Here is a 26,364-nt window from a genome sequence, read left to right as displayed (position 1 = left end):
GGCCAGGAGTGGTGGCGGGCACCTGTAATCCCGGCTACTCAGGAGGCTGAAGCAGGAGAATCGCTTGAACCCTGGAGGCGGAGGTTGCAATGAGCCGAGATTGTGCCACTGCACTCCAGCCGGTGCAACAGAGTGAGACTCTGTCTCAAAAAGAAAAAAGAAAAAAAAGAATGCATTATCTGCCAACCTGCACATCTGTGTCAGAGGCATCCTTACCTAACTCACAATTCAAGTTTTATTAAGTCCCTTGAGTTCTCATTATGCAGATGTATAATTGAGGGTTGAGAAAGATGTATCAGCTAGAAAGTTTTCACAAAAATGTAAGACAAAATCCAAAGCCAATTGGATTAAACATGAAATTTAGTGGCTCATGCAACTGTAAGTCTAGAGGTACAGCAGCTTCAGGGAAGGGTTGATCCAGCAGCTCAAATGGAGTAACTAGGGCATGGCTTTTCTCTGCTCTACTCACTCAGTGTTGGCTTCTTAATCAACTAAATTTCCTTTCATGGTCAAAAGATAGCTGCCAGGAATTCAATAACTATGTTTTCAGGTTGAAATTCATAAAAATAAGTGCCTTCATCTCAGCATTCCTAGCAAATATCCTAAGATTCACTCTGCTTGATCTAGCTTAAGGTGCATGCCTGCCATGACTGTCTTAGGTAGGAAACATGTTCCATTCCTACAAAATATATATGAAATACAGCACATTAAAGTTGACCTTAATGATTTAAATTTCCTGTATTACTAAATAATGGTACTACTGCATTTAAATTGATGGGTAAAGTGCATCATACAACTTTCTCTATCTTCTTAAAAAGTTATTCTCCTGGTTGGGCATGGTGGCTCACACCTTCAGTTCCCGCACTTTGGGAGGCCAACGCAGGTAGACCTCTTGAGCCCAGGAGTTCAAGACCAGCCTGGACAACATGGTGAAACCCTGTCTCTACAAAAAATATAAATTGGCTGGGCATGGTGGTGCACACCTGTAGTCCCAGCTACTTGGGAGGCTGAGACAGGAGGATCGCTTGAGCCCAGGAGGCAGAGGTTCCTGGCATCTTGGGCTCAAACACATAGGCCTAGGCAAAGAGCCAAGATCACACTCCAGCCTGGGCAACAGAGTGAGACCCTGTCTCAAAAAAAGAAGTAGGAAAAAAAGGTATTCTCCCAGATTTTCATCAGAATCGATCAAGAAAAAAAAAAAGTGAATTCTTCCCTGAATGTAAATCTCTTTTTGAAGGATTCAAAATATACTACCAGATTACCTGGTAAAATCATAACACAGGTTTTATCTTTTTCCTTTTACCATAACTGAAAGTAACACCACAGATTTTCAAGAAGAAAAAGAGGTTCTCATTCCATACTTTTTCAAGATTATAATAACAAGATTTAAAAGAAAAGATAGAAAGAAACATTTATATCTAGAGCCAGGTCAAAAAAAAAAAATGATTTGTTTCACAGAGCTTTAAAACATAAGCAACTAGATCATCCATCCTATGGCCCAAGATCCCTCTTACTACATCACCGCCAAACTTCCCTCCACCTCCCCCAAAACACACAGTCCTAAGAACAGAGTGGGGATGCACACTTTAGGGAATCTTTCTGTGAATGTGCATTCCAAAGCCAAATACAAATTATTCCTGAATTATGCTTCTTACTATTGACGTCCCTCATTCCTATAATTATCACAGAAAATAGAAGGCAAACTATTCTGTTTTTATAATGAAGAAGAAAGTGAAATTCCATTTATTAGATTGAAAGCCAATACTCAAACATAAAGGAGAGAACCTGGTTCTGACGGTAAAGTTGGACAAAAACAAAAGGCAACATTGTCTGGAGTAGAACTAACCACTTGAACATGTGTTACATACTGGAAGTCTTAAAGAAAAAACAAACTTCACTCATAATCCTAGAGGGAAGCAGTGTGGGTAAAGAAAAGGATGTGAATTTAAAAAAAAAAATCTCTGTAATTATTAGATTCTACGGATTGGTTTTTCAAATACTTATCAAGTAATTCAGTTAAGCAAACATGTATTGATGACATCATTAAGAAGTATTAGAGTCAGATACAATAGGAATATAAACATACCCCTTGACTTCATAAAGCTTGTAAGGGGCTACAAAGAACATGATCAAGTAGAAATGTGTGCGACACTAAAAAACATGGCTTTGAGTAATCAAAAAAGGAAGAAACCAAATAAATCTAGATAATTTCTATAGCAAATAACAGGAAATCTCAAGGCAAAACTGCTTAAACAATAAGAAAATTCAGATAGAGAGGCTATAGGCATGGTAAATGGAACTCTAGTTCTACTTTTCTCCAGTTCCCTTGGTTCTCCCTCCTTCACATAAGGCACCACCTTCAGGCTACTAAAAAGATGGCTCCAGCACTTCCACACATCACATCTACGTAATATCAGCTCTGCGGAGAAGAGGGACCATCTATTTTCTTCCTTTTCACAAAAGCAAGAAAGATTTCCCCAAAAGCCTCTTGCAGATGTCCCTTTTGTCTCTCATTGGACAAAACTGTTTCTCATGTCCATTCCTAAAACAATCACTCCCAAAGAGAATGAGACCTACCACAACTAAGATTAAAATGGATGCTGGTAACTATCATGACCATCATTTCAGCGCTGGCTGAATATTTCAAATACAGTATTTCAGGCCTCGGACTGAAGAACAAATAATAGAGAAAAATGCCTAGGCAAAGGAAAGGATGTGCCTAACTGGAAGAAGCAAGCCAAACTCTGAAATCAGACATTAAACATGATGTTAGGGATAAAGAATTCCCTTAAACTGCACTGCTGTCCTCCTCTGTAATATAAAAATTAATGTCAGCAAATGCTAAGAATGTAGAAGTAGTCATCCTCTTTTTATGGAAAGGGTTTAGGTTATTTAATTATCAGTGGAGATTATCAGACTTACCACTCCTCAGCAATGGAGTAACACATTCAGCTACTTCTGGGTTAAGAACATTCCATATTATGCATACAGATGACCGCAGATTCACTGTCAGTAGTTATTCCTTGCAGATTTCTTCTCATTTGGGTTCCAGGTTTCACTCAAAAATTCACACACTCAAATCTGGCCCTATCTGCAAATGAAAGCATGCAATTAGGAGGCAAAAAGCTACAGAGAGCAATTCCCCCTCCCCCATCTATAATTAACTGATCCATATAAAGACTGAACTCAAACACTAGGCTCACTAAGCACCATGTTTAACCTAAGCAACCTGCATTTCAACACCATAACGTGCTTATTATACACAGTTAACACACTTTTCCCACCATATAAATTTATTGTTGCTTCCACATTATATCTACCCACCGGGCAGAATCCAGCAGACAGATACCTTTGGTGGACCCACACTAGGTTGGTCTGCATGGTTAAAGGATAACTGCCTACATTTATAAATCAGGACTTTACATGAAAATCCAGATTTTGGACCTCTCTTGAAAAATCAGAATATCTGGCAATACTGGCCCCACATTCCCATATGGAAACAATCTTCTGGAGCTGATTAGCAGCTAACTAACCCTGTGGATGGGACTCTGCAGTTCTCCACAGAAGTCGCCACTCTCCTTTATGTTACAACCTGGCTCACAATTACTTGTCTGTACCCTGCAGACATCTGAGCTTGCAAACTCTGCTACGTATTTCTAATAGCTCCCAGGGAACATTTTAGTATTGTCACAGCCAAGCATGTTTCTCTGCCTTGAGGATATAATATAGCATAAGGGGATAACAAACATGGACTTAAGAGTCAGAAGCTGAAGTTCAAATTCTGCAAATGACTAGCTGTGTGACCTCAGGTCTGTTTTTAACCTAAGATATAGTTCATCTAAAAGCGTCCAAATAAACCTATAAGCCTTAACACAGTAGACAAAACACGCCTAAAATCTAACGTGTCCAACCTGAATTGACAATACTAGATACACTGCTTCCTCAGTCTTCGTCATCTCAACAAATCACACCATAATCCATATATTCCGCTCAAGCCACAAACATAAAGTCCCACATACTCTTCCTTGTCTCCCAAAGCCATCACCAAGGCAACTGGCTCTTCCTCCAAAACACATAACTTGAACAGATTCTTAGAATTCCAGTCATAAAAACAAACAGCAATTCATCCTTCATAATCAATTACTTTGCTGAAATTGCCTATAAATTTAACACCTTAAATAATGGTAGCTTGAAGTGTCAAGGTTCCATATTATGAAGAATACTGGTACTTCATTAAAGGAAAAATGAATTTCATTAAAGGAAAAATGAAAACCATTGGGGTTGCTTAATCTCATTCCTGGCAAGACATTGATATTAATTTTATAAACTTACACATTTCTTCAACTCTAAACTGACAGTGAACTAAGAGGCTATGCTAACTCTGATAACGAAATTAGGAAAACCAAGACTACTATTAATAGAATAAATAAGTCTAGGAAGGTTGCAGGATCAATACTCAAAAACCAAGATTAATACTCAAAAATCAATTCTATTTCTATAGAACACTTGTACAAAGAATAATCAGAAGCCAGGCACGGTGGCTCATATGTATAATCCCAGCACTCTGGGAGGCCAGGGTGGGATGATTGCTTGAGGCCAGGATTTTAAGACCAGCCTGGGAAACACAGGGAGACCCTGTCTCAACAACAACAAAAAAAATGTTTTAAGTTAACCAGGCATGGTGGAGCATGCCTGTAGTCCTAGCTACTCAGGAGGCTGTGGTGGGAGGATTACTTGAGCCCAAGAGTTCGAGGTTACAGTGAGCTATGATTGTGCCACTGAACTCCAACCCCGGCAACAGAGCCAGATCCTGTCTCCAAAAAAAAAAAAAAAGGACAATCATTTAAAAAATAATTTCATTTGTAGTGTAAAAGTATGAATTATGAAGAAATTATCAAATTATGTGCAAAAACAAATAGAGAATAATATTATGTTCATAGATCAATGAAGTCAATGATGTTAACATGTCAATTCTCCCCAATTTGATCAATATAGTCAACACAATTCTAATAAGAATCCCAGCTGACCTTTTTGTAGAATAAACTGGCATGTTTATTCTAAAATCCTACAGTTTAGTCGGGCATGGTGGTGCACACCTGTAATCCCAGCTACTCGGAAGGCCGAGGCAGGAGGATCGCTTGAACCCAGGAGACAGAGGTTGCAGTGAGCCAAGATCATGCCACTGCACTACGGCCAGGGTGACAGAGTGAGACTCTGCCTCAAAATAAATAAAATAAATTAATTAAATAAAATCATATGGAAATGGCAAAGAGCTAGATCAATCAAAACGGCTTTTAAAAAGGGCAAAAATTTTGGAAGCCTTATACAACCAGAATTCAAGGTTTATTATAAAGCTACAAAAACACTGTACTAGTAGGCAGAGAGACTTAACAGGTCAATAAAACAAAACTGAGAGTCCAGAAATACAACTACACACATGTAGTCAACTTATTTTCCATAAGGGTACAAAGGCAATCCAGCAGAGAAAGGATAGCTTTCTCAACAAATGAAGCTGGAACAACTGAATATTCATACCGCATGCCAAAATTAACTCAAAATCAATCACAGACCTAAAGGTAAAACCATAAAACTTCCATAAAATCTTTGTGGCCTTATCTTGGGCAAAGATTAGTAAACTAAAACACAAAAGCACAATCCACTTAAAAAAGACAAAGTAATAATTTCATTCAAATACTAATTTCTGCTATTTGCAAGACACTGTTAACAGAATGAAAGATAAGCCTCAGAAATAAAAGGCATCCAAACAGAAAAGGAAGAAGAGAGGGGCCAGGCGCGGTGGCTCATGCCTGTAATCCCAGCACTTTGGGAGGCCGAGGCAGGCAGATCACGAGGTCAGGAGATGGAGACCATCCTGGCTAACATGGCAAAACCCCGCCTCCACTAAAAATACAAAAAATCAGCCGGGCGTCGTGGCAGGCACCTGTAGTCCCAGCTACAAGGGAGGCTGAGGCAGCAGAATGGTGTGAACCCGGGAGGCAGAGCTTTCAGTGAGCCAAGATCACGCCACTGCACTACAGCCTGGGTGACAGAGCAAGACTCCGTCTAAAAAAAAAAAAGAAAAGAAAAGAAAAAGAAAAGGGAGGAGGAGCCAAGATGGCCGAATAGGAACAGCTCCCGTCTACAGATCCCAGCGTGAGCGACACAGAAGACGGGTGATTTCTGCATTTCCATCTGAGGTACTGGGTTCATCTCACTAGGGAGAGCCAGATCGTGGGCGCAGGTCAGTGGGTGCGCACACCGTTTGCAAGCCAAAGTAGGGCGAGGCATTGCCTCACTCGGGAAGTGCAAGGGGTCAGGGAGTTCCCTTTCCTAGTCAAAGAAAGGGGTGACGGACGGCACCTGGAAAATCGGGTCACTCCCACCCAAATACTGTGCTTTTCCGAGGGGCTTAAAAAACAGCGCACCACGAGATTATATCCCGCGCCTGGCTCGGAGGGTCCTACGCCCACGGAGTATCGCTGATTGCTAGCACAGCAGACTGAGATCAAACTGCAAGGCAGCAGCCAGGCTGGGGGAGGGGCACCCACCATTGCCCAGGCTTGCTTAGGTAAACAAAGCAGCCTGGAAGCTCAAACTGGGTGGAGCCCACCACAGCTCAAGGAGGCCTGCCTGCCTCTGTAGGCTCCACCTCTTGGGGCAGGGCACAGACAAACAAAAAGCAGTAACCTCTGCAGACTTAAATGTCCCTGTCTGACAGCTTTGAAGAGAGCACTGGCACTCCCAGCACGCAGCTGGAGACCTGAGAACGGGCAGACTGCCTCCTCAAGTGGGTCCCTGACCCCTAACCCCCGAGAAGCCTAACTGGGAGGCACCCCCCAGCAGGGGCACACTGACACCTCACACAGCAAGGTACTCCAACAGACCGGCAGCTGAGGGTCCTGTCTGTTAGAAGGAAAACTAACAAACAAAAAGGACATCCACACCAAAAACCCATCTGTACATCACCATCATCAAAGACCAAAAGTAGATAAAACCACAAAGATGGGGAAAAAACAGAACGGAAAAACTGGAAACTCTAAAAAGCAGAGCGCCTCTCCTCCTCCAAAGGAATGCAGTTCCTCACCAGCAACAGAACAAAGCTGGACAGGGAATGACTTTGACGAGCTGAGTGAAGAAGGCTTCAGACGATCAAATTACTCTGAGCTACTGGAGGACATTCAAACCAAAGGCAAAGAAGTTGAAAACTTTGAAAAAAAATTTAGAAGAATGTATAACTAGAATAACCAATACAGAGAAGTGCTTAAAGGAGCTGATGGAGCTGAAAACCAAAGCTCAAGAACTACGGGAAGAATGCAGAAGCCTCAGGAGCCGATGTGATCAACTGGAAGAAAGGGTATCAGCGATGGAAGATGAGATGAATGAAATGAAGTGAGAAGGGAAGTTCAGAGAAAAAAGAATAAAAAGAAACGAGCAAAGTCTTCAAGAAATATGGGACTATGTGAAAAGACCAAATCTACGTCTGATTGGTATACCTGAAAGTGATGGGGAGAATGGAACCAAGTTGGAAAACACTCTGCAGGATATTATCCAGGAGAACTTCCCCAATCTAGCAAGGCAGGCCAACGTTCAGATTCAGGAAATACAGAGAACGCCACAAAGATACTCCTTGAGAAGAGCAACTCCAAGACACATAATTGTCAGATTCACCAAAGTTGAAATCAAGGAAAAAATATTAAGGGCAGCCAGAGAGAAAAGTCGGGTTACCCACAAAGGGAAGCCCATCAGACTAACAGCGGATCTCTCGGCAGAAACCCTACAAGCCAGAAGAGAGTGTGGGCCAATATTCAACATTCTTAAAGAAAAGAATTTTCAACCCAGAATTGCATATCCAGCCAAACTAAGCTTCATAAGTGAAGGAGAAATAAAATCCTTTACAGACAAGCAAATGCTGAGAGATTTTTGTCACCACCAGGCCTGCCCTAAAAGAGCTCCTGAAGGAAGCACTAAACATGGAAAGGAAAAACTGGTACCAGCCGCTGCAAAATCATGCCAAAATGTAAAGACCATCCAGACTAGGAAGAAACTGCATCAACTAACGAGCAAAATAACCAGCTAACATCATAATGACAGGATCAAATTCACACATAACAATATTAACTTTAAATGTAAATGGACTAAATGCTCCAATTAAAAGACAGACTGGCAAATTGGATAAAGAGTCAAGACCCATCAGTGTGCTGTATTCAGGAAACCCATCTCACGTGCAGAGACACACATACGCTCAAAATAAAAGGATGGAGGAAGCTCTACCAAACAAATGGAAAACAAAAAAAGGCAGGGGTTGCAATCCTAGTCTCTGATAAAACAGACTTTAAACCATCAAAAATCAAAAGAGACAAGGCCATTACATAATGGTAAAGGGATCAATTCAACAAGAAGAGCTAACTATCCTAAATATATATGCACCCAATACAGGAGCACCCAGATTCATAAAGCAAGTCCTGAGTGACCTACAAAGAGACTTAGACTCCCACACATTAATAATGGGAGATTTTAACACCCCACTGTCAACATTAGACAGATCAATGAGACAGAAAGTCAACAAGGATATCCAGGAATTGAACTCAGCTCTGCACCAAGCAGACCTAATAGACATCTACAGAACTCTCCACCCCAAATCAACAGAATATACATTTTTTTCAGCACCACACCACACCTATTCCAAAATGGACCACATACTAGGAAGTAAAGCTCTCCTCAGCAAATGTAAAAGAACAGAAATTATAACAAACTATCTCTCAGACCACAGTGCAATCAAACTAGAACTCAGGATTAAGAATCTCACTCAAAACCGCTCAACTACATGGAAACTGAACAACCTGCTCCTGAATGACTACTGGGTACATAACAAAATGAAGGCAGAAATAAAGATGTTCTTTGAAACCAACGAGAACAAAGACACAACATACCAGAATCTCTGGGACACATTCAAAGCAGTGTGTAGAAGGAAATTTATAGCACTAAATGCCCACAACAGAAAGCAGGAAAGATCCAAAATTGACACCCTAACATCACAATTAAAAGAACTAGACAAGCAAGAGCAAACACATTCAAAAGCTAGAAGAAGGCAAGAAATAACTAAGATCAGAGCAGAACTGAAGGAAATAGAGACACAAAAAACCCTTCAAAAAATTAATGAATCCAGGAGCTGGTTTTTTGAAAGGATCAACAAAATTGATAGACCGCTAGCAAGACTAATAAAGAAAAAAAGAGAGAAGAATCAAATAGACCCAATAAAAAATGATAATGGGGATATCACCACCGATCCCACAGAAATACAAACTACCATCAGAGAATACTACAAACACCTCTACGCAAATAAACTAGAAAATCTAGAAGAAATGGATAAATTCCTGGACACATACACTCTCCCAAGACTAAACCAGGAAGAAGTTGAATCTCTGAATAGACCAATAACAGGAGCTGAAATTGTGGCAATAATCAATAGCTTACCAAACAAAAAGAGTCCAGGACCAGATGGATTCACAGCCGAATTCTACCAGAGGTACAAGGAGGAACTGGTACCATTCCTTCTGAAACTATTCCAATCAATAGAAAAAGAGGGAATCCTCCCTAACTCATTTTATGAGGCCAGCATCATTCTGATACCAACGCCGCGCAGAGACACAACCAAAAAAGAGAATTTTAGACCAATATCCTTGATGAATATTGATGCAAAAATCCTCAATAAAATACTGGCAAAACGAATCCAGCAGCACATCAAAAAGCTTATCCACCATGATCAAGTGGGCTTCATCCCTGGGATGCAAGGCTGGTTCAATATACGCAAATCAATAAATGTAATCCAGCATATAAAGAGAGCCAAAGACAAAAACCACATGATTATCTCAATAGATGCAGAAAAGGCCTTTGACAAAATTCAATAACACTTCTTGCTAAAAACTCTCAATAAATTAGGTATTGATGGGATGTATTTCAAAAGAATAAGAGCTATCTATGACAAACCCACAGCCAATATCATACTGAATGGGCAAAAACTGGAAGCATTCCCTTTGAAAACTGGCACAAGACAGGGATGCCCTCTCTCACCACTCCTATTCAACATAGTGTTGGAAGTTCTGGCCAGGGCAATTAGGCAGGAGAAGGAAATAAAGGGTATTCAATTAGGAAAAGAGGAAGTCAAATTGTCCCTGTTTGCAGATGACATGATTGTATAGCTAGAAAACCCCATCATCTCAGCCCAAAATCTCCCTAAGCTGATAAGCAACTTCAACAAAGTCTCAGGATACAAAATCAATGTACAAAAATCACAAGCATTCTTATACACCAACAACAGACAAACAGAGAGCCAAATCATGAGTGAACTCCCATTCACAATTGCTTCAAAGAGAATAAAATACCTAGGAATCCAACTTACAAGGGATGTGAAGGACCTCTTCAAGGAGAACTACAAACCACTGCTCAAGGAAATAAAAGAGGATACAAACAAATGGAAGAACACTCCATGCTCATGGGTAGGAAGAATCAATATCGTGAAAATGGCCATACTGCCCAAGGTAATTTACAGATTCAATGCCATCCCCATCAAGCTACCAATGCCTTTCTTCACAGAATTGGAAAAAACTACTTTCAAGTTCATATGGAACCAAAAAAGAGCCTGCATCACCAAGTCAATCCTAAGCCAAAAGAACAAAGCTGGAGGCATCACACTACCTGACTTCAAACTATACTACAAGGCTACAGTAACCAAAACAGCATGGTACTGGTACCAAAACAGAGATATAGATCAATGGAACACAACAGAGCCCTCAGAAATAACGCCGCATATCTACAACTATCTGATCTTTGACAAACCTGAGAAAAACAAGCAATGGGGAAAGGATTCCCTATTTAATAAATGGTGCTGGGAAAACTGGCTAGCCTTATGTAGAAAGCTGAAACTGGATCCCTTCCTTACACCTTATACAAAAATCAATTCAAGATGGATTAAAGACTTAAACGTTTGACCTCTAATTAAACTAAAGAGCTTCTGCACAGCAAAAGAAACTACCATCAGAGTGAACAGGCAACCTACACAATGGGAGAAAATTTTCGCAACCTACTCATCTGACAAAGGGCTAATATCCAGAATCTACAGGGAACTCAAACAAATTTACAAGCAAAAAACAAACAACCCCATCAAAAAGTGGGCGAAGGATATGAGCAGACACTTTTCAAAAGAAGACATTCATGCAGCCAAAAGACACATGAAAAAATGCTCATCATCACTGGCCATCAGAGAAATGCAAATCAAAACCACAATGACATACCATCTCACACCAGTTAGAATGGTAATCATTAAAAAGTCAGGAAACAACAGGTGCTGGAGAGGATGTGGAGAAATAGGAACACTTTTACACTGTTGGTGGGACTGTAAACTAGTTCAACCATTGTGGAAGTCAGTGTGGCAATTCCTCAGGGATCTAGAACTAGAAATACCATTTGACCCAGCCGTCCCATTACTGGGTATATACCCAAAGGATTATAAATCATGCTGCTATAAAGACACATGCACACGTATGTTTACTGCGGCATTATTCACAATAGCAAAGACTTGGAACCAAGCCAAATGTCCAACAATGATAGACTGGATTAAGAAAATGTGGCACATATACACCACGGAATACTATGCAGCCATAAAAAATGATGAGTTCATGTCCTTTGTAGGGACATGGATGAAATTGGAAACCATCATTCTCAGTAAACTATCGCAAGAACAAAAAACCAAACACCGCATATTCTCACTCATAGGTGGGAACTGAACAATGAGATCACATGGACACAGGAAGGGGAACATCACACTCTGGGGACTGTTGTCGGGTGGGGGGAGGGGGGAGGGATAGCACTGGAAGATATACCTAATGCTAGATGACGAGTTAGTGGGTGCAGCATACCAGCATGGCACATGTATACATATGTAACTAACCTGCACAATGTGCACATGTACCCTAAAACTTAAAGTATAATAATAATAAAAAAATTAAAAAAAAAGGAAGAAGAGAAATTGTATCTGTTTGCTGATGACATGATCTTATGTGTAGAAAACCCTAAAGCCTCCACCAAAAAACTGTTAGAACTGATAAACGAAGTAAAGTTGCAGGGTACAAAATCAACAGACAAAAATCAGTAGCATTTCTTTACACTAACAACTAATAATCTGGAAAAAAAATTAAGAAATCAATTCTATTCACAATAGCCTCCAAAAAGTATATATATTTAGGATTAAATTTAACCAAGGAGGTGAAAGATCTGTAGGCTGAAAACTATAAAACACTGATGAAAGAAACTGTAGACAATACAAATAAATATAATGGTATCCCATGTTCAGGGATTGGAATCTTTAATGTTGTTAAAATGCCTACAATACCCAAAGCAATTTACAGATTCAATGCAATCTCTATCAAAATTCCAATGCTGTTTTTCACAGAAATAGAAAAAATAATCCTAAAATTCATATAAAACCACAAAAGACGTCAAACAGACAAAGCAATCTTGAGCAAAACAAAGCTGGAGGCATCACACTACCTAGCTTCAAAATCTACTACAAACTATAGTAATCAATACAGAACATACTGGCATAAAAACGGAAATACTGACCAACAGAACAGGATAGAAAGCCCAGAAATAAACCTACAAATTATGGTCAACTGGCTTTCAACAAAGTTACCAAGAACACAAAACAGAGAAAGGACAGTCTCTTCAATACAGCAGTCTCCCCTTATCTGTGAGGGATACGTTCCAAGACCCCCTGCAGATAGGAACCCTAGATATACTATGTTTATTCAATCTGATAAACTAGACAGCTATTAAGTGACTAATGAGCAGGTAGCATATACAGCATGGATATGCTGGACAAAGGATGATTTCCCAGGCAGGACAAGGCAGGACGGCACAAGATTTCATCACACTACTCAGGATGACACATAATTTAAAACGTAAGAATTGTTTATTTTGTGGAATTTTCCATACACTATTTTCAGATCATGGTTGACCAAGATTAACTCAAACTGCAGAATGCAAAACCACAGATAAGGTGAAACTACTGTAAATGGTGCTAGGAAAACTGGATATCCACAAGGAAAAGAATAAAAGTGGACCATTATCTCACACCATACACAAAAATCAACTCAGAATGGATTAAAAACTTAAATGTAAGACCTGAAACTGTCAAACTACTAGAAGAAAACATAGGAAAATAGTTACATGACATTGGTCTGAGCAATTTTTAGTTTTTTTAGATATAACCCCAAATATACAGGCAACAAAGGCAAAAATAAAACAGGACTGCATCAACTAAAAAGCTTCTGCACAGCAAAGGAAACAATTAATGGATTGAAGAGACAATCCACAGATTGAGAGAAAATATTTAAAAACCATTTATCTGATAAAGGGCTAATATCCAAAATATATAAGGAACTCAAACTGAATAGCAAGAAAACAACTTAATCAAAAAACGGGCAAAGGACCCAACAGACATTTCTCAAAAGAAGACAATAAACAGATGAATCTCAGCAAATCACAAGCAGCCAAGCTTCAGCCAATCACAAGCTGCCAACTGATCAGACCATGTTCAAATAAGGCAAAGGAGGAACTGTTAACTAATCAATCTATATACGTACTTGCTTCTCTTTTCTGTCTATACTTACTGCCCAGGTTGCACAGCAGAGCTCTCTGAACCTTTTCTGGTTCTGAGTGCTGCCCAATTCATGTACCATTCTTTGCTCAAATAAATTCTGCCACATTTACATTGTCTAAAGTTTTTCTTTTAACATAGAGACAAAAACTGGAAACAATTCATCAACTGGAGAATGGATAAACCTGTGGTATACACTACTCTCAATAAAAAAGAATGATTTTATACACCCATCAACATGGATTAATCTCAAAATAATTATGCTGAGTCAAAGAAGCCACACAAAGAGTATATACTGTATAATTTATACAAAATTCTAGAAAATAGAAACTAATCTCTAGTGGTGGAAAAGCAGATCAGCTAATCTCCTAGGAATGTGGGTGGGTGGGCAAAAGGAGGGCCTACAAAGGGCTGAGAAGAAACTTTTGGGGTATATTTCCAGTATCTTCAGTGTGGTTATGATTTCACAGGAATATACACATGCCAAAATTTATCAAGCTGAACACTTGAAATATATGCATTTAATTTTATGTTTAAATATTAATAACTGGTAGCAAGCCTGGTTAAAATGAAAAGCAAGATCCTTTTAATGCATTAAATTTGAAAATTATGGCCACAATCTTTCTCTTCAGAAAATAGCTCTTCCAAAAGTATATCTCAATGCTAAGGATCAGAAACACGATTACTAATCACAAAGAAAGCATATGCCAAAAACAGTACTCTAACTAACCTAGTATAATATAATTTGGCATGGGAAAAAGGAAATGTGGTGGATTTCAACATTGTTAATTCAATTATAGTCCAGAGTACCTCAGTCCTCCATTAAATTTGGTAGAAATTAGATTTAAAATACTGTCATTTCATTGTTGACCAAAAAGACATTTTACTATAATCATTCAATGAGTGTCATGTGGATACCGTTACTAAAATGGACTTCATATTCTGCTTAGAATTCATGAAAAAGTCATGAAAACAGATCCAATCTAACTGCTAAGCACTGGTATGCCTTGGTGCTTTTTGTATCATATTAAATGCCACCTCTATCCCTATCTACCTGTCATTTATACTGAAGAGACGGAGAAAAATGAATTATTTCCTTAGCTAAATTTAACCATTAAGTTTTATTTTAGGCCGGGTACAGTGTCTCATGCCTGTAATGCCAGCACTTTGGGAGGCCAGGGCGGGAGGATTGTTTGGGCCCAGGAGTTCAAGACAAGCCTGGGCAATGTAGAGAGACCCCATTTCTACAAAAAATACAAAATTTAAAAATTAAAAATAATAATAAATTAGCCTGGCATGGTGGTGCATGCCTGTGGTCCCAGCTACTTGGAAGGCTGAGGTGCAAGGATTCCTTGGGCCGGGAAGGTCAAGGTTGCAGTGAGCTGTGATCATGCCACTGCACTCCAGCCTGGGCAAGAGAGCAAGACTGTCCCAAAAAAAAAAAAGAAAATTATTTTAGACAGAAGCCAAAGTGTACACTCCATCTCTATGCAGAGATTTCTAGTCTCCAAGATAATCAGTCTCAGTTCCATCATATTGCTATGAAGACAAGAATGCATTTTTAAAGAAATTAAGTTATCCATGCTGTGTCTAAATACTTTTAGGGCAGTCACAAAGAAAAATTATGCTAGTTTTGCATCATCCCAAATGGCACAACTCCAATGAATGAGTACAGGCTGTATGTTCTACCTATTAGTACATCTTTCTGTTGTCACTGCTGCCTAAAAGTGGAATGTCCTGCCTTAGGGTATCTGTTATCAGAGGTCAGGATGTTAGGATCATGATTCAAAAGTCCTACTGATAGATGATTTAGACAAACTTTATTTAAGATTCCTTCCAAACCTCAGATCTTCTTATAAGTTAAAAATAAAATCGATTTTTAAGTGCCCAATCCACTACAATTCAAAAGTCTTAAATTTCAGCTGATAAACTACAAGAAGCCAAAGGCATAGGTCTTCCAGTAACATTTTGAGTACTTTCCACTTTTCCTCAAGAAACAGTAGCTTAAATTATCAGGCCTTGACCCTATTAAATCACTCTGACATTGAATGAAAAATAAGTACTTAAATATATGTCCCATTTTTATGCATGATCATTTAATGTCAAATACCAATTCCTTTCTTCTTCTCAAAGAAATACAGATCTGTCAGGGACAAATATAGACCTGTAAGAAATCTAGTTCAATTTCCTCACTTTACAGGCCCAGAAAGGTAAAGAAACTTGACTTAAAATCACTTAATTAGTACAATGTCTATTAGCACTGCAATAAATCACTGTCATTTATTTCCTCTGTGAATACACTGTAAAGAAATGCATATAATCATTCACTTAAACAGTTTAAGTGAAAAGTCATCTGGGCAATAATGTAGCCAGTGGCGACACTAAGACTCAACACATTTTTGTTTGATTCTTGCTATTATTTGCTGGTGCTGTTAACATTCCAAGACCATAAAAGTGTAAGATGTAGTTGAGTTACAGAAGTGGGTACAGGTGAGGGTAGGTGTAAATGAGGCAAAAACGTTAAAGGGGAAAGAAGCTATTTCTAATTGCTGGAATTTCAGAATCTGCTTGTCTTAAAAAAAAAAAAAAGAGTCATGAGGCAACAAAAACGGACTACTCCTGGTAAGTCATAATGATACAACCACTTTGTAAATAATTTCGCAACTTTCTTATAAAGGTATATATACATTTACCATGCTCCCCAACAAACCCACTCCTAAGAGAAATGAAAACATGTCCAGACAAAGAATATGGCTGAAGGAGGCAGTATAGAATAGCAGTTAAGAAAAGAGGTGCTGGTTGGACACGGTGGCTCAGGCCTGTAATCCCAGAACTTCGGGAGGCTGAGGTGGGTGGATCACTTGAGGTCAGGAGTTCAAGACCAGCCCGGCCAACATGGTGAAACCCCCGTCTCTATTAAAAACACAAAAATTAGGCTGGGCACGGTGGCTCACACCTGTAATCCTGGCACTTTGGGAGGCCGAGGCAGGCGGATCACCCGAGGTCGGGAGTTCGTGACCAGCCTCACCAACATGGAGAAACCCTGTTTCTACTAAAAATACAAAAATAGCCAGGCGTGGTGGTGCATGCCTATAATCCCAGCTACTGGGGAGGCTGAGGCAGGAGAATCTCTTGAACCCGGGAGGCGGAGGTTGCAGTGAGCTGACATCGCACCATTGCACTCCAGCCTGGGCAACAAAAGCAAAACTCCGTCTCAAAAAAAAAAAGCAACCAAAACTTAGCCGGGCAGTAGTGGCGCGTGCCTGTAATCCCAGCTACTTAGGAGGCTGAGGCAGGAGAATCGCTTGAGCCGGGGAGGCAGAGGTTGCAGTGAGCCAAGATCTCGTCACCGCATTGCAGTCTGGGCAAGAGAGTAAGACCCTGTCTCAAAAACAAAATAAAATAAAATAAGATAAAAAAAGAAAAAGGAGGTGCTGCTATCAAACTGTCTTCAGGGTTTGAAATCTGGCTCTGCCACTTACTAAGTGTACTGATTTCAGACAGGTTATTCCCCTCTCTCCATGCCTCAAAAAATAGGGGTATCAGAAAGGGAAGGGGGCTTAATATTATGATGATACATTATGCTAGCAATTAGCAAGTCAGAGTTGTTTTTTAGTCAGAGGACTTTTAACTTTTTTAATTTTTTTTTTTTTTTGAGACGGAGTCTTGCTCTGTCTCCCAAACTAGAGTGCAGTGGCGTGATCTTGGCTCACTGCAACCTCCATCTCCCAGGTTCAAGTGATTCTCCTGCCTCAGCCTCCCGAGTAGCTGGAATTACAGGCACGCGCCACCACGCCCGGCTAATTTTTATATTTTTAGTAGAGACAGGGTATCACCATGTTGATCAGGCTGGTCTCGAACTCCTGACCTCGTGATCTGCCTGCCTCGGCCTCCCAAAGTGCTGGGATTACAGACATGAGCCACCGCACCCAGCCCTTTTAAAATTTTTTAATTGAAATATAATTCTACATATTTATGGGGTACATAGTGATGTTTCAGTAAATAAAATGTATAGTGGTCGGGGTAATTGGCATACCCACCATTTCAAACATTTATCATTTCTTTGTGTTGGGAACATTCAATAATTCTCCTTTTAGCTATTTGAAGCTATATGTTATTAACTATAGTCATCCTCCCGGGCCATAGAACACTAGAACGTATTCCTCCTATCTAGTTGTAATTTTGTGTCCTTTAACCCCATCTCTCCTCTCTCCTTCTTCCCCCTACCCTTGCCAGTCTCAGAGGACATTTTAAAACACATATACACACCCACAGCAACGGTAGTGTACAATACAGTATTTAAGAGTTTATGTGTATTTTGTGTATGGTCAAATAAATATAGTTTCCAATTCTGACTGCCACAGAGAATTGTTGGGAGGTTACCTCCCTGAGATTTGGTTTCACTAACTATAAAACGAAGACAATGCCACCTCAGAGAATTATTGTAAGAATGTAGTAAGATGTATAAAGTGTTTACTTATTACAATGCTTGACATATCATAGCTAAAAAACGGAAACTATTTTATTATGCAATATGCACATTATAACTAGAATGACCATTCATCCTTCTTTGCTTGTGATAGTCACAATTTATGCCAATTTTTAAACATAATTTTTTTTTTTTTTTTTTGAGACGGAGTCTCGCTCTGTCACCCAGGCTGGAGTGCAGTGGCGCGATCTCGGCTCACAGCAAGCTCCACCTCCCAGGTTCACGCCATTCTCCTGCCTCAGCCTCCCGAGGAGCTGGGACTACAGGCACCCGCCACCACGCCTGGCTAATTTTTTGTATTTTTAGTAGAGACAGGTTTCAATGTGTAAGCCAGGATGGTCTCAATCTCCTGACCTCATGATCCGCCCGCCTCGGCCTCCCAAAGTGCTGGGATTACAGGCGTGAGCCACTGCGCCAGGCCTACAACATAATTATTAATGGCCATTCTCTATCTTGATATGTTCCAGTTTCGATGATAAATTATATGGTCACCCTAATTTATAACTAAAATACTGTCAAGATTTTTCCTTTATTTAGTTCTTTGTTCTCTTATTCCCTTTTTAGTGACATTTTCTCTTTCTTATCCAACTCACTGTCCCCCTTTTCCAACCTCTCTCTTGCTCTCACTTGTTCTCACTCCCCTTATCCAGGTGCTTGGCAACCTCAATGCTGCAAGTCCAGGTTCTGTGGTCCTAAACTCCTCAGTAATGGCATGTTTTTCAAATCTTATTTTTCTCAAATTCCCATCCATCCTTTCACTGAATTCCAGAATAAAAGCTAGTGACCCTAAAAACACTACCACGATCACCAACAATGGGATTAATATTCTAGTTCTCTAAGGATAACAACACTTTAACAGGAAACTCCAAGAGAGACAACACCTTAAGCCAAAGTAGAGAAACTAACAGCATAAATGTCAGATACTGTGACAGGCTGGGTAGGATAGACCATTTGAGAACTTTACTCTTCGAATCAAATAATTTAGGTGGGTTTCTACTAAATACCTATATCAGAACAGCCCTGATTCCCTCCTTTTTGCTGGTTCTCAGACAATCCAGTCAAAATACCAAAGGCTCAAAAACTAACATTACATTAATAGTTCTTAAGGGTTTTGTCCTATGCCCTCATCTTTCACTCTACAAATGCTCCCCTAGGTTATTTCAATCACTCCCCTGAGTTCGATTAGCATCAATGCTGATCGCCAAATCTACATTTCCAGCCCACAGCTGTCTCCAGCCCAAAGCTCTCCAGCCTAGTTGTCTTTTAATTTAGCCTCACACCCAGCTGCATGTAGTGCAGCTCCACAGGATGTGCTACCTCTGCTTCAAACTTTACTGAACCCTGCTTCTTAACTCAACTCTGCTTCTTTCTTACCATTACCCACCCCAATCCTATTCAATTTATTTTCATTAAATTCCCTCTCATCTACCCAGTTTACGAAGCCAGAAACAAGCATGTTATCCTTAACTTTTGCCTTTCCATCTCATCCCCCACAGCCAAACGGCCATGTTCTATTTGTCCAATCTGTTTCTCCCCAACACTAAGTCACCAGTAGAGTTCTAGGCACCACCATCATCTCTCAACGAATACCATAATAGCTGCTAACTGACCCCTGGTAACCACTCTTAGTCCCTCCAATTTGTTCCCCATTTTGGCTAGAATGATACTTCTAAAATGAATGTCTGATCATGTTATTCCTGACGTAAAACCCCCTTTAATGACTATTATCCTCAGGAAAGTCTCCTCGTATGACTTCTCAGGGCCTTTACCATTTGGTCCCCACATTTCTCTTCAACCTCATTTACTACCTCTTCCATTTGATACCCCATGACTGTGCCATCCAACCATTCTCAATTTCTTTCTGTTGCCTACAGGACATCACACTTACTGTTCACTTCTTTCTGTCTGGCATACTCTTCAGAACTTGATATGGCTATCATTTCCTTCAGGAATCATTCCCCAATCCCCCAAGTCTATTCAGGCCCTCTTCCAATATACCTTGTACCTTCCTTTCAGGGCATTTATATTACAGAGGTTATTAATCCTGGCTGCACCTCCAAATAATGGGAGAAACTTAGTCCCAGAATTTCAGATTCAGAAATGTGGCAAAATGGCATTCAATTCTGGGTGTCAGATTTAGCTTAGCAAAAAGCACAAGGGGAAGATATGACAGCCTTCAAAGATTTGTAGGTCTTAGCATAGCATGGGAAAGAGGAAGCCAACTTGTTATGGGGTACCAAAGATGGTGGTAACAAAGCCACTATGCAGAAGTTTCAGGAAGGCAATTTTTGGTTTAAAAAAAAGAAAGAACTATCTACAAGTCTAACTGCCCCCAAAAAGATACTGGGATGCCTAGAAAGTGGTGAATTCACAGTCACTAGAGGTTAAGTATCAGGGACCCTAAAAGAATTCCTATATTTGTGACGTCATACTAAATAATATCCACAGTTCAAATCAATTCTAAGATTCTATGGTACCTAAATTCATAAAATATTTTAAAGATGCCGGGCGCGGTGGCTCATGCCTGTAATCCGAGCACATTGGGAGGCCAAGGCGGGTGGATCACCTGAGATCGGATCACCTGAGTTCGGGAGTTCAAGACCAGACTCACCAACATGGAGAAACCCCATCTCTACTTAAAAAAAAAATAAAAATTAGCCAGGCATGGTGGTGCCTGCCTGTAATCCCAACTACTCAGGAGGCTGAGGCAGGAGAACCGCTTGAACCCAGGAGGCAGAGGTTGCGCTGAGCCGAGATTTTTCCATTGCACTCCAGCCTGGGCAACAAGAGTAAAACTCAAAAAAAAAAAAAAATTTAAAGATGACTAGACAGCAGCTGAATGAAAGCACATTACTCTAACCCACTCTAACAGGAAGCATAACTTCCTAAAAAATTAGATTTAACTGCCTATTTTACAAATAACTCAGTGAAACTACTCATAAAAATAGCTAAATACATTACGTTTTCGTGTATTAACTTTTTAAAGAAAAAAATGAAAAACTGTCATTAAGATTGGAAATAGGGAGAGTCTCCTAGTTTTTATTTGACCCTGTGTGAAAAGCCAAAAGAAACCAAGATGCTGATTTGTCGATCGATTATTTCTCAAAGGGTAAAATGACATCAAAAAGGCTTTTTTAGGATGTGGTAACTTTTATAATTTTTATAATTTTTAATTTTTATTTACTTATTTATTTATTTATTTTTGAAATGGAGTCTTGCTCTGTCACCCAGGCTGGAGTGCAGTGGCACAATCTTGACTCACTGCAAGCTCCGCCTCCCGGGTTCACGCCATTCTCCTGCCTCAGCCTCCCAAGTAGCTGGGACTACAGGCACCCGCCACCACGCCCAGCTAGTTTTTTTGTATTTTTAGTAGAGACGAGGTTTCATCATGTTAGCCAGGATGGTCTCGATCTCCTGACCTCGTGATCCACCCGCCTCGGCCTCCCAAAGTGCTGGGATTACAGGGGTGAGCCACCGCACCCGGCCAGGATGCAGTAACTTTTAAAAAGACTTTGTACACTAACAAATATTTGTTTTCTCATGTATACATGAGAAAGAGGGAAAGATGAGAAAGAGTTAAAGGTTTCTTAACGCCTTATGTAATTATAACAGTTATGGGTACAAGAAAAACAATGGAGAAGAATGGAACTAAATAACAGCCTCATTCTCTCTGCTGTCATATTTTATTGTATCTTCAGGTCAAAGTGATCTGGAAAGAAGCCATTTTTGCACGAGAAAGAACAAAAATGCAAAAAAAAAAAAAAAAGAATATAAAGTATTTAATCTGAAGTCATCCTTTTCCTATGACTTTTATAAAAAGCACAAAAAATGTCTAAATTAGTTACTGTCATCTTTAACTCACTACTATTTATATCTCCATACTTTTATTTTACAACTTAGAGAAAACATTCTACTTTCATCAAAATTTTAGTTTTAATAAATATGCTGCAATCTTAGGTTGGAGTTATTAAGAGAGGTGGAGTGGTCTTTTCTCCCCACAAGGAAATCTTTTATAATAATCTTCAATAAAAAAAAGAAAGAAAGAAAGAAAAAGAACTTGCAAAACATTATGTTTCCATACAACTTTACAAAACACATTTTCATATATGAAAGACTACTATAGAGAAGCAACATAATCAAACTGTAAAGCCTCTGTTATGGGTTGAATTTGCCCACTCCTCTCCCAAAAAGATATGTTGAAATCCTAACCCCCCCAGTACCTCTGAATGTGACCTTACGTTGCAGATGTTACTAGTTAAAATGAGATCATACTGGAGTAGAGTGGGCCCCTAATCCAATATGATTGTTGTCCTTTTAAGAAGCCAACAGTATGAAAACAGAGACACAGAAGGAGAAGGCCATGTGATGACAAAGGCAAGAGACTGGAGTAAAGCAGCTGCAAGCCAACGACTGCCAGCAAACCATCTGAAGCTAAGGTAAAGCAAGAAAGGTTTCCCCTCCAGGTTTCATGGGGAACACAGCGCTGTTGACACCCTGATTTTGGACTTCTAACCTTCAGAACTGTGAGACAACACATTTCTGTTGTCTTAAGCCACCTAGTTTGTGATACCTTGTTGTGGCAAACCCAGGAAATGAATACAGCCTCCATTTGATGAGGAGAGCAAAAAAAGTCACACAAATCTAAGTGTTATAATCATGTTCACTATAATCCATTACCCAATCAAAACAGGATTTTGGCCTTGCTTCAGTGTGGTCACTGTCTACATGGTCTCCAGCTCATCAAAACGGAATCCACGTTTCTATTAAATATCCCACTTATTCAGTATCTAGGCTAGACAGTTATCTAGGCCACCAAGTTTAATAAAAGTGTGTCTGTTTTCCCATGTGTTACAGGACAGTCGTGTTCGTATTTTATATTGTACATATTTTGACCAGATAGTACATACCCATAGTAAAACTGGATAAAAAGAAATGTGTTGGCCGGGTGCGGTGGCTCACGCCTGTAATCCCAGCACTTTGGGAGGCTGAGGCAGGCAGATCATGAGGTCAGGAGGTCGAGACCACCCTGGCTAACACGGTGAAACACCATCTCTACTAAACAAAATACAAAAACTTAGCCGGGCACGGTGGCGGGCGCCTGTAGTCCCAGCTACTTGGGAGGCTGAGGCAGGAGAATGGCGTGAACCCGGGAGGTGGAGCTTGCAGTGAGCCGAGATCGTGCCACTGCACTCCAGCCTGGGTGACAGAGCAAGACTCTGTCTCAAAAAAAAAAAAAAAAGTGTTTCACCCTCACTCTTCTGTCCACAAATCATCCTGTTCCCCGCTCCAGAGAGAAACATTATTACTAGTTTATTCTATGTTTTTCCAGTAAGATTCCATGCATTTATAAAAATACTATATATACTTATGTATGTGACGCATTTAAATGGTAGCATACTCTACACATTCTGAACCTTTTGTTAACCACTTCACATGTGTCTTGGAGACCATTCTGTATATGTAGAACTTGTTTTTCATTTGCAGTACAATATTCCATTATATGGATGCACCATAATATATTTAACCAATCCTCTACAGATAGACATTAAGGTCACTGCCAATACTTATCTTTATCACGATGATGCTGTAATAGCTATCTTTTTTTGTTGTTTTGGTTTTTTGTTTTGGTTTGGTTTTTTTTTTTTCAAAGTCTCAATCTGTCACCCAGGCTGGAGTGCAATGGCATCAACTCAGCTTACTGCAACCTCCACCTCCTGGGTTCAAGTGATTCTCATGCCTCAGTCTCCCAAGTAGCTAGGATTACAGGTGCCCACCTCCATGCCTATTTTTTTTTTTTGAGACTTAGTCTCACTCTGCCACCCAGAATGGAGCGCAGTGGCATGATCTCGGCTCACTGCAACCTCCGCCTCCCAGGTTCAAGCGATTGTCCTGCTTCAGCCTCCCGAGTAGCTGGGACTACAGGTGCATGCCATCACGCCTGGCTAATTTTTTGTATTTCTAGTATAGACAGGGTTTCACCATGTTAGCCAGGATGGTCTTGATCTCCTGACCTCATGACCCGCCCACCTCGGCCTCCCAAAGTGCTGGGACTACAGGTGTGAACCACTGCACCCAGCCTAATTTTTCTATTTTTAGTAGAGACGGAGTTCTGCCATGTTGGCCAGGCTGGTCTCGAACTCCTGACCTCAAGTGATCTGCCCGCCTCAGCCTCCCAAAGGGCTGGAATTACAGGCGTGAGCCACCACGCCCGGCCATGTACTGGCTTTTTATTATCCTTTCACTGAACTCTTTCTTTGCCATCCTATTTATAACTGCAATCTCCTGTTCCCTACCCTAGTAGTCACCATCTCCCTCCCATGCTTTATTTTTCCTCATAGTACTTTTTTAAGTTATCTGGCATTCTATATATTTCACTCATTTGTTGCTTGTCTACATCAACTAGAATGTAGGGCTCCATAAACACAAGAACTTTTGTCTCTTTCATTCGAAACTAAATCCCTAGTATCTGAGTGTCTGGCAAATAGCTAGTGCGCAGTATTTATTCAATAATTGAATGGTTTTATTTGATCCCAGAAAAGGGACAACATACCTTTCCTTCAAGGCAAAGTAAGTCACAGTTCCCAAACTGATGAGTAATTTGTCCTCTTTATCTTGTATTAATTTTCTATATTATGTCAAATAAAATTATTATATTTTTGTGTGATCCAGATTTGGATCACAGAGTATATCAGATTGGATATACTCTGTGAAGCCAGGAATTCCCAATTTAATTCAGCCTATCCGCTTAAAGATAATGTTTTCTGGTCTTTCTCAATATTGTGCGTACTTTTCAAACAGTGTATACTTGACTCTGCATCCTTGTATGTAGTGGCCCTCCTGCATTGACAATATCATTAACACACAATTTCTTCTACCAGCTGTACATTTTCACCAGAAGAGTGGCTCAGTGTGACATTACTTCCAGTAAATACAGGGGGTCCTGAAATGCCAACTAGCTTATCTTAAAGCAGCCAATACATATCGAATTTGTCCCAGTTGCCTTTATAAGGAGTTAAGACACGCAGTAAGTTGCGTCACTCTATGGCAGAGCGATCAGTCTGTATTTCAGTCAGGACCTGGCACACCAGGGCCTAAAAGTAAAATGACTGTTGACAAACTGTTCATTGGGAAGGGGAGAAGGTAATACTTTACAGAAAAATAAAGAACATAAGAAAAGTAAGTTCTTACTTGTCTTAGCCTGTTCAGGCTGCTATAACAAAATACCATAAACTAGGTAGCCTATACACAATGAAAATTTGTTTCTCATAGTTGTGGAAGCTGGGAAGTCCAAGATCAAGGCACTGGTGGATTCAGAGTCTGGTGAGGGCCCACTTTTTTTTTTTTTTTTTTTGAGACGGAGTTTTGCTCTCGTCACCCAGGCTAGAGTGCAGTGGCCTGATCTCCACTCACTGCAACCTCCGCCTCCCGGGTTCAAGCGATTCTCCTGCCTCAGCCGCCCCGGTAACCGGGATTACAGGCACCCGCCACCACGTCCAGCTAATTTTTGTATTTTTAGTAGAAACAGGGTTTCACCATGTTGGGCAGGCTAGTCCTGAACTCCTGACCTCAGGTGATCTGCCTGCCTTGGCCTCCCAAAGTGCTGGGATTACAGACGTGAGCCACCGTGCCCGGCTGAGGGCCCACTTTCTCTTAGACGGTACCTTCTCACTGTATCTTCACATGGTAGAAGGGTAGAGCTAACTCTCTGGGGTCTCTTTTACAAGAGCACTAATCCCATTCATGAGGGCCTAATCATCTCTCAAAGGCCTCACCTCCTATTACCATCACGTTGCGGGTTAGAATTTCAACATATGAATTTGAGGGGTGGGGAAGAGAGACGCAAATATTCAGATCAGAGCATTATTCATTTTTAGATTATTAAAATCTGACAAATGTGCAAGTAGTATTATCAAAATATCTCTATCTGTTCATTCATTCAACATTCAAATGAACAACTATGTTCTTTTGCTGTATTATAGTTTGTTTCTGTTTTTTTTTTTTTTTTTTTTTTTTTTTTGAGACAGGGTCTCGCACTGTCACCCAGGCTGAGTGGGTGCAATCTCAGCTCACTGCAGCCTCAATCTCCTGTGCTCAAGCGATCCTCCCACCTCAGGCTCCCAAGGAGCTGGGACTACAGGTGTATGCCACCATGCCAGGCTGATTTTTATTTTATTATTATTTTTATTTTTTTGGTAGAGATGGGGTTTTGCCATATTTCTCA

General features: G+C 40.2%; 1 protein-coding gene across 11 annotated transcripts in view, besides 2 other annotated features; it reads right to left on the bottom strand.

Moving 5' to 3' along the window:
• The window catches only part of CDC42SE2 (CDC42 small effector 2), a 184,621-nt gene that overhangs the window by 75,606 nt on the left and 82,651 nt on the right, over positions 1 to 26,364 (bottom strand). For 9 of the 11 annotated variants that reach the window (XM_047417396.1, XM_047417393.1, XM_047417394.1 and 6 more), the window contains one exon: positions 2,923 to 3,091. The exons of the other annotated variants lie outside the window; for them this stretch is intronic. The gene's annotated coding sequence lies outside the window, so the exon portion shown is untranslated. The remainder of the gene's footprint in view (positions 1 to 2,922; positions 3,092 to 26,364) is intronic. 11 annotated transcript variants of the gene reach the window in all.
• Positions 6,478 to 7,286: an enhancer, noted in NCBI's record as "H3K27ac-H3K4me1 hESC enhancer chr5:130647474-130648282 (GRCh37/hg19 assembly coordinates)". NCBI's record gives its function as "activates a minimal SCP1, AML or CMV promoter by ChIP-STARR-seq in naive H9 embryonic stem cells {active_cell/tissue: H9 hESC(naive)}" and the evidence as "EXISTENCE:reporter gene assay evidence [ECO:0000049][PMID:30033119]".
• Positions 6,516 to 6,737: a silencer, noted in NCBI's record as "fragment chr5:130648023-130648244 (GRCh37/hg19 assembly coordinates)". NCBI's record gives its function as "represses an EF-1alpha promoter that drives an FKBP-Casp9 reporter gene in an ReSE screen in phorbol 12-myristate 13-acetate-treated (for megakaryocytic differentiation) K562 erythroleukemia cells {active_cell/tissue: K562(+PMA)}" and the evidence as "EXISTENCE:reporter gene assay evidence [ECO:0000049][PMID:32094911]".

The sequence above is a fragment of the Homo sapiens genome, chromosome 5, assembly GCF_000001405.40.
Source record: "Homo sapiens chromosome 5, GRCh38.p14 Primary Assembly".
NCBI lineage: Eukaryota > Metazoa > Chordata > Mammalia > Primates > Hominidae > Homo > Homo sapiens.
The sequence above is the reverse complement of the archived record's forward strand: the minus strand, read 5'-3'. Positions and strand labels throughout refer to the sequence as shown.